The 15,658-nt window shown below is 39.2% G+C and overlaps 2 long non-coding RNA genes across 2 annotated transcripts in view, besides 3 other annotated features; one reads left to right on the top strand and one right to left on the bottom strand.

Annotated features, from left to right (window-relative positions):
• LOC105375241 (uncharacterized) overlaps positions 1-2,046 on the top strand; it is a 40,928-nt gene extending 38,882 nt beyond the window's left edge. Inside the window, exon 4 of the long non-coding RNA XR_927190.1 lies at positions 1,140-2,046. This is a non-coding gene — a long non-coding RNA (uncharacterized LOC105375241). The remainder of the gene's footprint in view (positions 1-1,139) is intronic.
• The window catches only part of LINC01449 (long intergenic non-protein coding RNA 1449), a 31,898-nt gene extending 22,588 nt beyond the window's left edge, over positions 1-9,310 (bottom strand). Inside the window, exons 1-2 of the long non-coding RNA NR_110832.1 lie at positions 9,055-9,310; positions 2,991-3,055 (exon numbers count right to left, since the gene is read on the bottom strand). This is a non-coding gene — a long non-coding RNA (long intergenic non-protein coding RNA 1449). The remainder of the gene's footprint in view (positions 1-2,990; positions 3,056-9,054) is intronic.
• Positions 2,405-3,604: an enhancer, noted in NCBI's record as "P300/CBP strongly-dependent group 1 enhancer chr7:41146908-41148107 (GRCh37/hg19 assembly coordinates)". NCBI's record gives its function as "activates an origin of replication core promoter dependent on BRD2, BRD4, P300/CBP, MED14 and CDK7 cofactors, with strong dependence on P300/CBP, by STARR-seq in HCT116 cells {active_cell/tissue: HCT116}" and the evidence as "EXISTENCE:reporter gene assay evidence [ECO:0000049][PMID:35650434]".
• Positions 7,309-7,358: an enhancer, noted in NCBI's record as "active region_25895". NCBI's record gives its function as "activates an Ori minimal core promoter by ATAC-STARR-seq in GM12878 lymphoblastoid cells {active_cell/tissue: GM12878}" and the evidence as "EXISTENCE:reporter gene assay evidence [ECO:0000049][PMID:35858748]".
• Positions 7,369-7,418: an enhancer, noted in NCBI's record as "active region_25894". NCBI's record gives its function as "activates an Ori minimal core promoter by ATAC-STARR-seq in GM12878 lymphoblastoid cells {active_cell/tissue: GM12878}" and the evidence as "EXISTENCE:reporter gene assay evidence [ECO:0000049][PMID:35858748]".
• Positions 9,311-15,658: the final 6,348 nt, after the last annotated feature.

Genomic DNA, 15,658 nt, shown 5'->3' with positions numbered 1-15,658 from the left:
AGGACCAAAGTGCTGAATTTATTCATAAATGTTTTGCTCATTTCTAGCATTAGCACACCTGCAGGTTTTGGTGTGCCATGGGCTCCAGAGTTTCTTTTGTCCCAGTGAAGTTACTCAAATTCTATAACTTCCGCTCTTCAGCGGGAAATGGGGTATTCATGGAAATAAATTATCAGACCAGTGTACTGCAAATTTGAAATGTTTTTAAATGGTAAGGCAATTGGGCAGAACCTAGAGTTTGCCATTATGATGATATGCCAGTCTACCAGAATTTTGTAATAATAATTAAAGCCAATTTGCTACCAAGGTAACAATGAAATGTAGACAGAGTAGGGGTCAGAAATGGCATTTAATGATCCTCAGTGTTGCAGTTTATCATAAAGCACTCATACCTCATCTTCCTCACATTATTGGTCTAATACTATATCTACAGTGTTTCTCAGGGGCTTAACCACACATTACGTAATGCTGAGTTTTCCAGAGAGGAGTCATGGCTCACACCCTCAGAGCAATATGGTGAATATATAGAAGGGCTATGGCCAGGTGTGGAAACAGACAGGGATTGGGGCTATGCATTCTTACTTCTTTAGGTCATCCTCATGTATCATTTTTTTTTTTGGAAAGTACCATATTAGTGGATTCCTGAATTACACAAGACACTCTTTGTCTCTCCCAAATGAATGGCACCTAGACCAGAAGGAATGGTTTGATTGTAGGATAGAATGGAGGAATGGAGAAATTGACAAAACATTAACCTAAGCAGAAACTGCCTAACTATCTTGTTTCCACTGAAACTCTGACATATAAAATAATCAATACATTTTTATAAAGTAGTTAAAATTTATTTTTTACTCTTCCTCATACTAGAAAAGATTTGAGAAGATTGCACATGTGTCACATGCAAGAAGAAGTCAGAAAAACTGAAAGATGTGACTCTTTGGCATCGAATACCTTAAAATGCTGTTGAGAGTCAGCAATATGAAGTAATTGTCCTATGTTATGGGAGTAAATAATTCTTTGCTAAATTATGTTACATGAGAAAATGTGACACATATCTGAGACCATCTCAGGTATTCCAGAGTATATCATATATTCCAGAATTATAATGATTTCTTATATTTTATGTCATTTTTCTATAGGTCCTCTTTCTTCAGACTGAAATATAGCCTAGAAATCTTGAAGACATCTAGAGAACAATCACGTTGATGAATATGTGCATACTTAATAATGCTATAAGAAAAGATAAAGAATAAGTGGGGTCTTAAGTAATTATACATTGGTCAAAGGAAGAAAGTTGAATATCTCAGGCAATTGGCACAAGACAAGGAGGTCCCAGGAAATTTCAAGACACTAAGAACGCGAGTTTGAAAATGTCATGGATTAGGAGAGTGGAAGAAAATAAGGTTGCATGCATGGGGATTCTTGGAAATCTTTAAAATGGGGCAATGCAGGAAAGACTCATCCCAGGGACCCCCAAGGCTCTGATTAAGGAAAGTGACCCGGTATCGTTGAATTTAGAAAGGTTGGTCCAGTGTTATAGCATAAGGCAGGGAAAAGGCAGAGATGGGGAATCCAGACCAAAAGTTGGTGTAATTATCCAGTTATGAAGTGAGAAAGACCTCAAAAGCTTATTTTTTTCAGTCAGACAGATATATTTTGCTGTTGACTTGTATGGCTTGGCTTAATCAGTCACTTGCCTAATTTCAATAGACATACATTTGGGTAAAGGTAGTTTCTAAAAACCAAATCACCTCAAAGAACAAAGTTTGACCATCATTTACAACATTCTAAAGAGCCTCACATAGTATTTTAAAGCAATGGCAAAACATGAATGGCAAAAATATTTTCAGCATTGACATCATCAAAGAAGAGAACATTTTGGTCTGCCCTGCAAAAACTGTCATATTACAGTATCACAGCATTCCTCAAAGTGCATTGTAGAGCATTGATTCTTTGAGGACATTAGTAGGTATTAGGGCAGGGAAATTATTGTGTGTTCAAATATATTTGAAATGTGAGAGTCAATAAACAAGATCCTTACTGTAAGATTTCTCAGAATATTTATATCCCAATGGGGATGTCCCCATTATCCAAGGACAATATCCCAATGGCCTTTGTGCATACATGTTGGAGCTCTAGCATGTAGCATTTCCAATTAGATTTGACCATGGCACTCTACTTTCATGTCCCATCTCCTAGTACTAGTGTGTCACTGAATGCACAGTAAGAAATGCTTGTATATGCACATAGAAGATTACATTATAGTCTTTTGTGCCATGTAGATATATAGATAAAACATATTTTAAAGATATATGCATGTGTAATTTCATTAGGATGAAATTATTTCATAACTGCAAAGAATTCAAGTTATTCATCCTTTGCTAATTGCCTTTGGCTTTAAGGCTTGTCAGAATTCTTCTGCTCATTAAATTCATAATCTCCTTCTGAGGGAGCGTTGAGGACGACTTCACTGGAGTGGCTCACCCACACACAGCCCCCAAATCAGGCTGTTCATCATCTGAGTGTTTTTCTTCAAGCACACAAAGAAACTATTTTCTTCTGGGTAGGGGCTTCCCCTGACCTCCCACCCACCCTGGTTAGGTAAAGAGTCATCCCCAAAGAGATGTGTCATTCTTGGAACAGAACATCCCTTGGCAAACATTCACTGAGTAATCATTCAACTAGAAGCATAAATCTACCCCGAGGGTCGGAAAAACCCATAGTGAAAGAGAATAATGGGCAAAGGGAATTGCATTCCAGGCTATTAAAATAGACACGGGCACTGAAGTGAATGTGCTGAAATGAAACAAAGGGAATTCTCCAAAATTCAAACATGGAACTCTGGGTGATAAACTCTCGACCTGGTCCTGATTAACTCTTAAGTCACTCAGAAGAGATCATCATTCCCTTTTACTCGGGACAGTATGGTGGTTGATCCACACTGGGCCATTTCCTGTTGACTTCAACACGGGGCTGATGGTAAAAACAACCTTTCTTCTTTTTCCCCTATCCTTTCTTCTCCACGCCCCTTCCATATGTGGCTATCATGTTGACCCTGCAAAAGATATTAGACAAAAAGTGAGTCAGAGCTCAGGATTCTCCGGTGAGTCAGAGCAGCCTACCTGCAGCCAGACAGGCCTGGGGCAGAGAGCAGCATTGGCACCAGCTCTGCTCTGTAGGTTGGAACGGGAGCTGAGAGAGCTGTACTTGCTGCAGAGGCTGGCGGGGAAGTTTCTGCTGGGTGGGCTAGGCACAGGTCCAACAGGGATCAACATGTTCTCGTCACGATTCAGACAGACGCCTGACACCAGGGGGGATCCAAGCTGGAGCTGCCCAACAGGTGGGCAGAGCATTGCTCAGAAATTCAGACTGGCCAGGGGCTTGATTTTCAAAGAGGCAGGATATGGAAGTGGTTGGAACATGGGCTTCTGGTCTCATTTCCATCCCTTGTAACTGTGATTGTGGACAAGTTACTCAACCTTCCTGAACCTTGGTTTCAGATAGTGTTACCGAGGCTCTTTTAAAGGATACAAGGAAATAAAATACCCAACATTTATTCAGCACCTACTATACTGTGCAAAAAGTCGGCTAGGCATGATTACATTTAATCCTCACAACAATCCTCTGGAAGAGGCCTTATTATTATCTCCATCTCTGAGGTGAGGAAGCTGATATTCAGGTCACCATCTAGTAAGTGATAAATCCAGACCTGAGTTCAAGGGCCAAAGTTTTAGCCAAATACTCTCACCAAATCCAACTCTTCTCTGGTAGTAGGATACTCCTACTGCTGGTAAGAGTAGGAATGACATTCTTAGCCCAAGTTCTTGATGGATAGTGCCAACGCTTGGAGTAGGGGAAAGGGCAAGGTGACAGCAAGGCTGTGGTCTTCTTAGTCCAAAGTCAGAGCTGAGAAACTCCTCAGCTTGTTAGAAAGGATGCCAAAATCTCACAGAAGGGACTTGAGAACAGAAAGGCATCCACAGAACTCTGGCTTCAAAGTGAGGCACCATGCAAGTGGGCAAAAAACAATGAAGAAGTGCAGGGATCAGCGCAAGGACATGACCCTGGATTAGCATCCAGCACAATCCAGAAAATCAGGAAAGAGTATGGCAGTCTGCTACATGGAAGGTGACTGTGTCCCAAAGACCACTGCAGGACTGCAAGAGGTTTAGGATAGGATGCGTGGGACAAAGACAGTCAGTGTTAGCTCAAGAAATGGAGCTATGGCTGGGCATGGTGGTTCACGCCCAGCACTTTGGGAGGCCAAGGCAGGCAGATCACTTGAGGTCAGGAGTTCATGACCAGCCTAACCAACAGGGTGAAACCCTATCTCTACTAAAAATACAAAAATTAGCTGGGTGTGGTGGCGTGTGCCTGTAATCCCAGCTACTCAGGAGGCTGAGGCAGAAGAATTGCTTGAACCTGGGACACAGATGTTGCAGTGAACCAAGATTGTACCACTGCACTCCAGCCTGGGTGACAGAGGAAGACTCTGTCTCAAAAAAAAAAAAAATGGAGCTACAAATTAAAACACAGACAGAAAGCCAAATGCTGCGTGTTCTCACTTATTAATGGGAGTTAAACATTGGGTACACATGGACATAAAGAGGGCAACAATAGACACTGGAGAAGGGGCGGTGGGAGGGAGGGTTGAAAAACTAACTATTGGATACTATGCTCACTACCTTGGTGACAGAGTCAATCATACCCCAAACCTCAGTATCATGCAATATACCAATGTAACAAACCTACACATGTACCCCCTGAATCTAAAATAAAAGCTGAAATTTTTTTTAAAGTGTTACACACAGTTGCTGGGAATGTAAATTAGTTCAGCCACTGTGGAAAGCAGTTTGGAGATTTCTCAAAGAACTTAAGACAGAGCTATCATTTGACCCAGCAATCCCATTACTAGGTATACATCCAAAAGAAAATAGATCATTCTATCAAAAAGACGCATGCACTTGTACATGTATTGCCATACTATTTGCAGTAGCAAAGACATGGAATCAACCTAAATGCCCATCCATGGACACTTGGATAAAGAAAATGTGGTACATACACACTATGGAATACTGCACAACCATAAAAAAGAATGAAATCATGTCCTTTGTGACAACACAGATGGAGCTGGAGGCCATAATCCTAAGTGAATTAACAGAGGAACAGGAAACCAAATACTGCATGTTCTCACTTATAAGTGAGAGCTGAACATTGAGCATATATGGACACAAACTTGGGAACAATAGACACTGGGGACTGCTAGAGGTGGAAGCGAGGCATCAGAAGTAAACTACCTACTGGGTACTACGCTCACTATCTGGGTGCAATATACGCATCTAACATACCTACACATGTTCCCACTATATCTGCAATAAAAGATGATTTTTTAAAAAAAATAGTATATTGTTTCTAGCTAAGTTTTGAGATAGTTTTTACACATCAACAGATAACCTTGACCCTGATGCCCACTTCCAATTTGAGCCCTCAATTCCCTTTATTTAATAAATCCTTTAAAATCTTAAAAAAAAAAAAGAAGTAGGGCTAGAATAAATTTGCACTTAGGGATATTAGGGGACTTCTGTGGATTGCTTCCAGAAGGTTAAAGATTAAAAGTCATTCCAGGTTATTTCTTCAGTAATGTAGTATTTTCTAGTGTAGTTTAGTGTGGAGTGGTGTGGTGTAGTGTAGTATACTGTAGCATAGCATAGCACAGTGCAAAGTAGTGTGGTACAGAGTAGTACAGTGGTGTGCTGAGGTGTCGTGTAGTTTGTTGCTTTGTCATATATAGAGAGCAATATGGTATAATGCAGTGTGAGACACAGGGTTGTACAGTGTAGTATAGTGTAGTTTAGTTTGCTGCAGTATCATTATATTAGTAGTGTAATACAGTAAAGAAGGAGCCATGGAGCTGAAGTCAGGAAACCTGAATTCTCATCCTTTCTGTGCCATTAGTAAGCTGCATGGCCTTGGATAAATCAAGTAGTCCTTTTTTGGCTGCTTTTTTCTGTAATATATAAAATGAGGAGGTTGGAAAAGATGATCTAGAAGGTCAATCCTGAGACATCCCACAGCTTGGTCTTACTCATGAGATCTCTAACAATTTATACTTTCTGCCAAGATTTAGAGATTCCTTATACAGACTTTCCCCAAGTTTAGAATGCCAGATAATGTTCCTGGAAGAAAGTAGAAAAGGGAAAAGGCCATAAATAGATTTTAGTACCAATTCAACATTATGAACTAAGTTAAATGAAAGGTTAACGTATTGCAATCCAATCCTGGCCATAATTCTTTGTTAAATGAAGGGTATTCTTAGCCAAAATACAGGGAGGTCTGGGTAGCTGCACTCCAGCTGCAGAAAGCTTCCTATGTTATATTCTTTGTGCTGGCACAACTGCAGTACCTGGAGAGTAAGCGATCCATTTGGTCAAAATTGCTGGACCAGATAATCATACCAACCCAGGCCTCCATGATTACTGGTATCAAGAGTCAATGTTAAATCATTTCTTTTTTGGAAGAAGTGTGAATTGCTGCTATATTTTCAAGTCCATAATAATGTATAAGGCATAAGGGTAAATTCTGCTAAGAGACTTGTTAAAAATATAGAATATAGAATATAGAAGCTTCTTGCCCTATTCCTCTTCACTTTCTACAGTCCTCCTCAAGGCAACTACTTTTGACTCAGCAATTACTTCAGGTATTTATACATCTTCATATTTCTTAAATAATATGATACTTCTGTCTTTTGATTCATCAATTTTAGACATTATCTGTTGATTTCCCATATTGATAGATTAGGATTTAGCTCTCTAATACCACCATTCCCTCTGTGTGTTCTCTCATATACTCACAATAATACTGTATTTTGAGGTCGAGCCAATAGTCAGTGTTAGTATTATTATACATATGAAAATATTCTTCACAACTGAGCATTATGGTGTACTATGATTCTGTTTCCTTTTTTACTTTTGCTTTTCCTGAAGTTAATACACGCCTTGTCTTTTTATTGACTTAGTTTTCTTTATATGTATTGCTAATTATTTCAACATCTTCCCAAAGCTTGTCAGGTTAATTTTTCATGAGATAAATGACATCAGTAATCCTTCAACAACTTATTAGTTTAATTTTGTTTTGTTCTGAGACATCTCTAGGCTTGTTTCATAGCTGTCATCCTGGGACTTCCCTTTGTCCATCATCCTTGGAATTCCCTTGCTTTTCTCCTTGTTTGGGTTCTCTAGCTCCTGTGTGTCATGACTACCTCTTTAATGACATACTTCTTTGTTTTGAAGAAGCAATTCCTTTAGCTATTCTGCCAGATTAAAAATATAGTATTAGAGCAGAAATCATGGAGATAACAGCCCTCAACATGCCTGCCTTTTGAGTCATGATGTTCTAATATGGACTGGCTTTTTTGCAGCCCCTGGGGCACTATTGTCATTCTGGAATCTCCCTTCCTCATTGTTGCCTCTAGTTTAACTTGACTCTCTTGCTTTCTGAATTCTGTCTCTTCCTCTTTCTAGATTACTACCTCCTCTGCTAGAAAACATCTGTTAATGCCTTTTTGAAATGGAGTAGAAGGAAGGCAAAGTATTTGAGACATTGCATGTTTGAAAATGTCTTCATTTTTACCCTTACAATTGATTAATAGCTTGGCTAGGTATAGAATTATAGCAGGGAATTCTTTTTTCCTTCAAAGTTTTAAAGGCATTGTTCTGTCTTTTTTTTTTTTTTTTTTTTTTTTTTTTTGCTTCTAGTATAATCCAAAAAGTCAGATTCCATTCTGATTCTTGATCCTCTGTATAGACTTTCTTTTTTCTCTCTAGAGGATTTTTTGTTTCATTGTCTCCAGCACTCTGAAACCTTACAATGATGATCATTGGTGTGGATCTATTTTCATCTGGTATTGGACACCCTGTAAGACTTTCAATCTGGAAACTCACCTCATTTAAAAAAAAAATTACTTCTTGGATGATCGTCTTCAATCTATTTGTGTGCTATCTTTTTCCAGAGAGACAAGTTATTCAGATGTTGAGCCTTCTGGGTCTTGTCCTTTACTTTTTTAAACCTGGTTTCCATCTTTTTTCATTTTTCTGGAATAGTTCCTTAACTTTATTTTCTAACCCACTGTTGAGTTTTCAATCTCTGTTATCTATAAGATTTTATTTTATTTTTTATTTATTTGAGACAGAGTCTCACTCTGTCACTCAGGCTGGAGTGCAGTGGTGCAATCTTGGCTCACTGTAACCTCCGCCTTCTGGATTCAAGCAATTCTCCTGCCTCAGCCTCCCGAGTAGCTGGGATTACAGGTGTGCGCCATGACAACTGGCTAATTTTTGTATTTTTAGTAAAGACGGGGTTTCACCATGTTGGCCAGGCTGGTCTCAAACTCCTGACCTCATGTGATCCACCCGCCTTGGCCTCTCTAAGTGCTGGGATTACAAGCATGAGTCACCGCACCCAGCCTGCTATCTGTAAGATTTTAATTTCTAAGGGCTTATGTGTTTTCTGTATATTCATATACATAGCCATGTGCTGCATAACAACATTTCAGTCAACAGGGGTCCATAAGATTATAATGGAGCTGAAAAATTGCTATCTCCTTGTGATGTTGTAGCTATCATAAAGTCATAACACAATGCATCACTCGTGTTTGGGGTGGTGCTGGTGCACACAAACCTACTACACTGCTAGTCATAAAAAGTATAGCATTTATAAAAATGTGCAGTACATAATACTTGATAATGATAACAAATGACTGCATTACTGTTTTATGCAGTTACTGTACTGTACTTCTCTTGCTTTCCTTCATCTACCCAATTCCAGGCCCTTTCCTCTGGTTTCTTAATGTGTACTCTATTGGTGACCCAAAGCAATGGCTTCAGGTCTCACCTTTATACCTGGACTCTCAGATTTACCTTTTCTTTTGATTTCTGGGATTTAATTTTCATCTCTTTACTTCCTTTCATTTATCATATCCAAAACTACATTTCTTTCCCTCAAGTAGCCAAGATTCTGTAATTGCCCACTCATATTAATCACTCTACCGACACTTACGTTACCTGGGTGAGAAATATTCGCATCCATTTTCATTCATTCTGCCCCATTTCTAAAGCAACCAATCATGACATCTTGCCATTTTAACTTCATAATGTCCCTCTTCTTTGTCTCTTTATTTTAATAACTTCTGACCCATTGATCATTGTTGCTTTTAAGATAGTCCCTGGCACTACTAGGAGGTCAACCATTTTGTTCTTTTCAGTAGCCAGATGCCAGCAAGTTACTGTCTCTTCAAATTAAGCTAGGTCATCCTGCTCCCCTATCCTTTCACAGTTTCTGAAGTTGGCTTCTATACTCAGTTCTAATTCTGACATCACACTAGGCAGTGCTGGGCATCATTCATCCTAATACTCTATAAGTGACCTTTGTTTTGTCTTTGTGTTTTGCCGATGTCTCCTGTAATGTATTGCCAAGCAAAATGTAGTTCTGTAAATGCAGTCTGTGCCCTCCTTGCTGCCTTGATGCATGCCAGATCTCGCTCTCCTGAATATGTCAGGAGCTTGAAAGCGGCATCAAGAGACTTCCAGAATTTCCATGCAGCTTACCCATATATGGAAATCCAGGAGATTCCTTTCTTATCATCTCTCCATTGAATCATAGAGCAGGAGAAATATTGATGACATAAAAAGCCTAACAGAGAAATATAGTCCTATCTTAAAAGAGTTCCAGAGGTATGTGGAGATCCTTCTCAGTAAGAAATTGCCAACAAAGGGAGCTCCACAAGTCAAATAATAATCCTCAAGCCAAAAGGGTGTTGTTATGTTTAGCCTCTTTTTCCAGTACCCGAAGCAGAAAATGGCCTCTCAGTAGGGTCAGATGGGTCTCTCCCCCAGTGAAATAACCTCAACTATGAAACTCTACAGCACATCAGGTGGGAAGGGAGTCACAGAACTTCCTAAGATTTATTACCTACAAACTTGGTACCCATGATGAGCTCCACTCATCCTCCCCAGATTGAGAAACTGTATAACACTCGTACAGAGATTATCCCCATTAGACTATGAGTTTCATTTCCTAGTATACATACAGCAAAATCCTGCATGCATAGCAAATAGAGAAGTGGCTTTTGATATAACCTTTTCAAAAAAATCTTATTTGAAATCTAAATATAGAAAATGGATAAGATTAGAAATATTTTGCTTGGAGCTGGCTAGGGGCCTCTATGAAAGTTCCATGTAACCTATGGAGAACACTAGTGCTCTGGGAAATATAGTTTGAAATAAATCATAATAAATATCATGTATGTCCACATTTCAGAGAGTATGTTACAAATGCTACTGTTCTCTAAAATTAACTTTGTCCCCTTTCTCCAGATATATTAGCGACAAACTTACGATGATTTGGGCTTAATGTCCTTAAGCTGGTTGGATTGGTGATGGATGGCATCATTCAAACCTCCCAAGTCTAAGCTGATGGGGCTCCATTGACATCAACACAAATATCAAATCTCAGGGTCTGTGCGATGAGCAAGAAAATCTTGATTCCAGTTTTCTTTCAAATTAGTCCCATGTGCTTACAATTGAATGAATTATTTTTAAAATAAGAATGTTACCAAAATGCCAGAGATTGGGTCCAGGTCTTCTTGCTCACCAAGCAGAAAGCTAATCACTGGGACAAAGAGTATTACCAGGGCAGAAGACTTTATATTTGGGTAACGTCAATTGGGAGAACAGGAGATAAGTCTCAAATCCGTCTCTCCAGCAAACTAACATTAGGGGTTTATGTAACGTGGAAAGTGGGGAAAACAGGAATTAGGGAGGGGCAAGAAAGCAATCAAGATGAATGAAGGTTTGACATCTCATCCTCTGGATGTGGGGATCTAGTGGGTTTCAGTTCTAAACAAGGAACTCAGATGGGACAAATGTAAGTTTCAAGTTTTAAGACAAGGAAGGCCCATTTCTACGGTTATTCAAAAACCTAAGAACAGATCATCTCATTGTTTGTGGAGATTGAGGTTTGCTACATTCCCCAATGATAAAATAGAAAACACCTTGTTTCATCACAGAATACTTTTTTACCAAAGAAGTGTTCAGGCTTTCAATGCACTTATAATTTATGTAAGGCAATAAGACACTAGTGTACTTGTTTTCCAGTTTTAGACTCATAGAAATGTACTTGTAACTTGCTTTTTAAGTAAGGAAGAATATTCTGCATCTTATTCCAGAAGTTGTGTTTTGTCCCCTTCTGCAATCCTACCATGCCATGCCTATATATGAAATCTCTTTGAAAACTATAGAAGCATAGGAGTTTTATCTTTAGAAAGTTGCCTACAGCTTCTAAAAGCACAGTAGTGTAGCTTATCAATTCAATTAAATTACCCCTGTTGTATCTGTGAATTCTGGACATGACTCAACAAGTTATTCTATAGACTTGAATAACTGACTAAATGAAATGTAATTTCAAAGCCCTTTTTAATCCAGTTGCCACAAAGATTTATCTTTCAAATCTTAAAGCCAATAATCCCATGAAGACAATTAGTAGTTTCTTTAAATTAAATTCTACTTTAATGTTAACAGGTCAGCAGCCTTTTCTTACTAATGTAGCTCATTCTAGAATAAAATATAAACATCCTTTGTAGAAAAATACGCTAAAACTAAAACTTCGACTTAAGTGCCAAAACACGATTTTAAATTTCAAAATGAAGGGCTGCATCGAAACGCAGAATTCACAGAGAAAATGGTGAAGAACCAACCCCACAAAGCCTTCTTCAAATCAAGGCCATAAATGGAAGATCAGAGTATGCAGGGAAGGAGTTGTGAGGTTTCAAGAGAATTTCTATTCTCTGCTATGTGGGTGAGTCACTTTCAACTTAAGGGGATCTGTTGGGGGGTGCGTCTGGGAGTGGGAGTGGGCTGTTGCTAGCTACTCTGTCTCAAGCATAGAGCAGATGGAGAGCTTGAAGCATGTTCCTGGAAATGTGGGCCCATCTTGAATTGGAGGCTTATTCTTGCCCGAGAAGATTTAAAGTGGTCTCTGGCAGGGCACAGAGAATAGATGATTGCATTTGGGAAGGAATTAATCTCTAATTGATGGCAGGGCAAGGAGTATATGAGTTTTTCCCATGGATCACACAAAAAAAGAAGGTCTAGAGCTATTTAGGTCTAACTCGAGAGGATGCTTGCAAGGAAGGGGATTCTCAGAAGCAAATGGGCACGGCAAGGATCATCTGAGAGCCAGCATCGGGGTGTGTAGGAGCCAGTGTGCTGCAGTACCAGTCACTGGCCAAATAAAAACGTGAGGAGCAGAGAGAAAGAGCTAAACACACCCCTTCACAGATGGTGAGTGGCTGCTCAATATAGGCCCTAACATGAGGAAGGGCTGAGGGAGTGTAACCCTAGAATAAAGATTGAAGTGATGTTATCTTAATCTGAATGTGCTGGTTTCACAATGGACTGGTTTGTAATTTCAAGTGATTTTAGGGCTGTTTGTGGCCTAAGTTTGATTGAAAAAGTCCTGGTGGTGGGAAAACAATCCCTTACCCCTGCACATACTTTAAAGGAATAAGGAGAGACAAAGCAAGCTTGCATTTTCGTTACATTTTGGCTGCGTTTTAGTCGTGGCTTTTCACATTCTGAATTATATTTAGATTGTTGAATTGAATTCAGTGAGTACACAATCCTTGCTACGAGGACAATTAGTACAATTAAATAAAAAGAGTGTGTGGTTTGGGATCAGAAAACCTGGATTTGTATGCCATGTCTTTGCTTAACTCATAATATGACCCTGAGGAACTTAACCTCTCTGAGCCCTGGTATCTTCGTCTATTGATTGAGAAACACAACTTGAGATTCTTTTGAGTATTAAATGAGATAATGAACAGAACAGCAATTCTGGTAACTGGCACTTGGAAAGTATAATAAATGGTTACTCTGTAGGACACAGTCATATAGATGCATTTTTTTAAGTGAGCTTAAAAAAAGGAATGCTGGTGTGTGTATTAGAAGATAATTTCTTTATAATTATGAACAAGTTCTCTCTTGTCTTTGGAGGAATCACTTTTAAAATGCATTAATCAGGCAGCCTGTGGACTCCTTTCCACAGTCATATAAGGACATCCATACACACAATAACAGTAATCATCAGTCATGCTAATGCTGGTTAGCCACAATGACACACACCTCTGAAGTGCATATTCAAAAAGGAACGTTAGAAAATATGTTTTTAAACACATGTCTCATAATAATGACTACATCTTGAGTAGCGACTAAAATAGACTGACCTTGTGCTTTTTTAGTGTCCAAAAAATGTACATTCAGCCCAGCAAAAACCTCAAATGGCTTCTTCCAGGCGGTTGAAAAACTTCGCCGGTGAAAAGCCACTCATATTTTGGCGGAGGATGAACCTACAAACTCTGCTGATTTTTTCCGACACGTAAGATTCTAAACTGTTACCGCGTGGACATTAACACGACTAAGGCAGACTCTCCAGTCTTGAAGGAACTTAGCCACGGAATTGAGCAACAATAGCATGGATGAACACAGGAACAAAGAAAACGTTTTACCTGCCTAACTCCCAGAGGGGTGGGGTGATGGGGAGGAAGGTAAAAAGTGCCACAGAAGTTCTAAAAGGATCAGGCCATCATTATCCAAACCAACCACCCCTGCCCTCCACTCAGGCTTTATAATTATATGGTCCTTTGCCCCCCTCCTTGCCTAGAAATTTCCAGAAGACCACAGGAATGATCCACTGTGGATGATGTCATCTGTCTTGCTCACTCCACTTACAGGCCACCCTGATCCAACCCCATCAGGAGGATGCTGTACTTTCCATGACCTGACCAAATACTTCACAGATCCCCTTCATCATCCCTCGCTTTCCCCACACACTTTTTATCATAGTGTGACAAGAAACGCTAACCACAATTTATATGTAGCCTCATTAATCCGTTATAGGGGCGTGCAGTCATTTCTTTCCACTTACATTCATTCAGACTCTTTCTGGTTCCCACTCTTTATACTGTTCACTCTCGATCTGTGCCAGAGACTTTGGAATTTATTTTTCCCAGTCCCACAGAACTCTCTACCTCTTCATGCTGCTAGGCTTTATATAGTTCCTTTTGCTGGAACTTTGACCCACTCTTCATTATTTGACATTTCTTCACATGGAATTTCATCAGCCAGTTATCAGGATATGTTTCCATTTCTCTTTTCACATCATGCTGAATTTTATCACTGATCTTCTCCTCTGTAGGGATCTAATTCTTTACTTTCACCACCTTACTACAAATAACCTTTATTGGGCAAAAATATTCAGAAAAAAAAAACATTTTAAAATGCCTTTATTCCTCCTAGCAATCACCTTTCTCTCTATATTTAGAACAAGTCGACAGAAAATTAACCTTCTCCAAAGGCAACAGCATGCCCTATATATTCATTTGCAAATGCAAAGATCCCTCCCTAAATGTACCTACTAACTCCAGGCATCATTCTTCCAAAGAACAAAATTCAAAAGAGTGTCTATGTAGGATGCCATTTTTAGAAGGTTCATCAAAATCCGTATGTCTCCTTCCCTTGCATATTTTATTATGACCATTTTTTCAGTAATTTATTCATGCTTCACAGGTGGCCCTAATTTGCATCAAAGTAACATCTCTTTTTTTGATTCAGTAAAACTCTGACACTTTCTGTCTTCGTCCTTCTCTAACCTCTTAGCAGCGTTGCGCACAGTGGAACACTGGTCCTGGCTTCTTTAGCATCACACTTACCTGGTTGCCCTCCCACCTCCCCACCACTTTGTTCATCTCTTGTGGGTTCCTTCCTCTCTACCTGATTTGAATGATGGAGTCCTTAGGGCTTGGGCCTGGCCCCTGTTATCTATCCATATTTTCTCCCTTGATGGTTTCATCTTATCTCATAACTTTAAGTACCATCTATATGCTGATGTCTCTCACATTGATATCTGGATTTGTATGTTTAATTATTTGTCTTCTTTACTTGTATGACTAATGAGTATTTTAAACTTCATATGTATAAATAGACCTCTTTATGTCCCTCTGTCTTCTCCCCAGCCTGCTTCAGGCTGAATTTTTAATCTTTTATTAAATGTACTATCAAACACCCAGTAGGTCTAGCCAAAATTTGAGGAGTCTTCACTGATTCTTCTGTTTTCTCTGCTCCTACATTCAATACATCAGGACATCACATAAGTTCTACCTTCAAAACATATCACAAAAATATCCAAATTTTCTCTACTTCCATTGCCACCCGAGCACAAATCCCTATAATTCTCACCTGGATTGCTGCAATAGCCTCTTAATTCACCCTTTGACTTCTCTTCTTACCTTCAAAGATTCATTCTCCACAAAGCAACTGAGCAACCTTTTTTTTTAACTGAAATCAGATCACATCATCACTTTGTTGTGATACTTCCATAGTTGTTCATTATCCTCAGAATGAAATCTAAATTCTCTATCATGACCCATAAGGGCCAACATGGATTTGGCTTTCTGCTCTCATTTTCTACCACTGTCCCCCACAGTCATTTCAAGCTATTGACCTTTTTTCCATTCTTGAAACACAACAAGCTTTTAAATACTTCAGGGCCTTTAGACTTCTGATCCCGCCTTATCTGAAAAACTCTTTCCATAGTTCTACCTCTGAAT

The sequence above is a fragment of the Homo sapiens genome, chromosome 7 (genome assembly GCF_000001405.40).
Source record: "Homo sapiens chromosome 7, GRCh38.p14 Primary Assembly".
Lineage (NCBI taxonomy): Eukaryota > Metazoa > Chordata > Mammalia > Primates > Hominidae > Homo > Homo sapiens.
The sequence above is the reverse complement of the archived record's forward strand: the minus strand, read 5'-3'. Positions and strand labels throughout refer to the sequence as shown.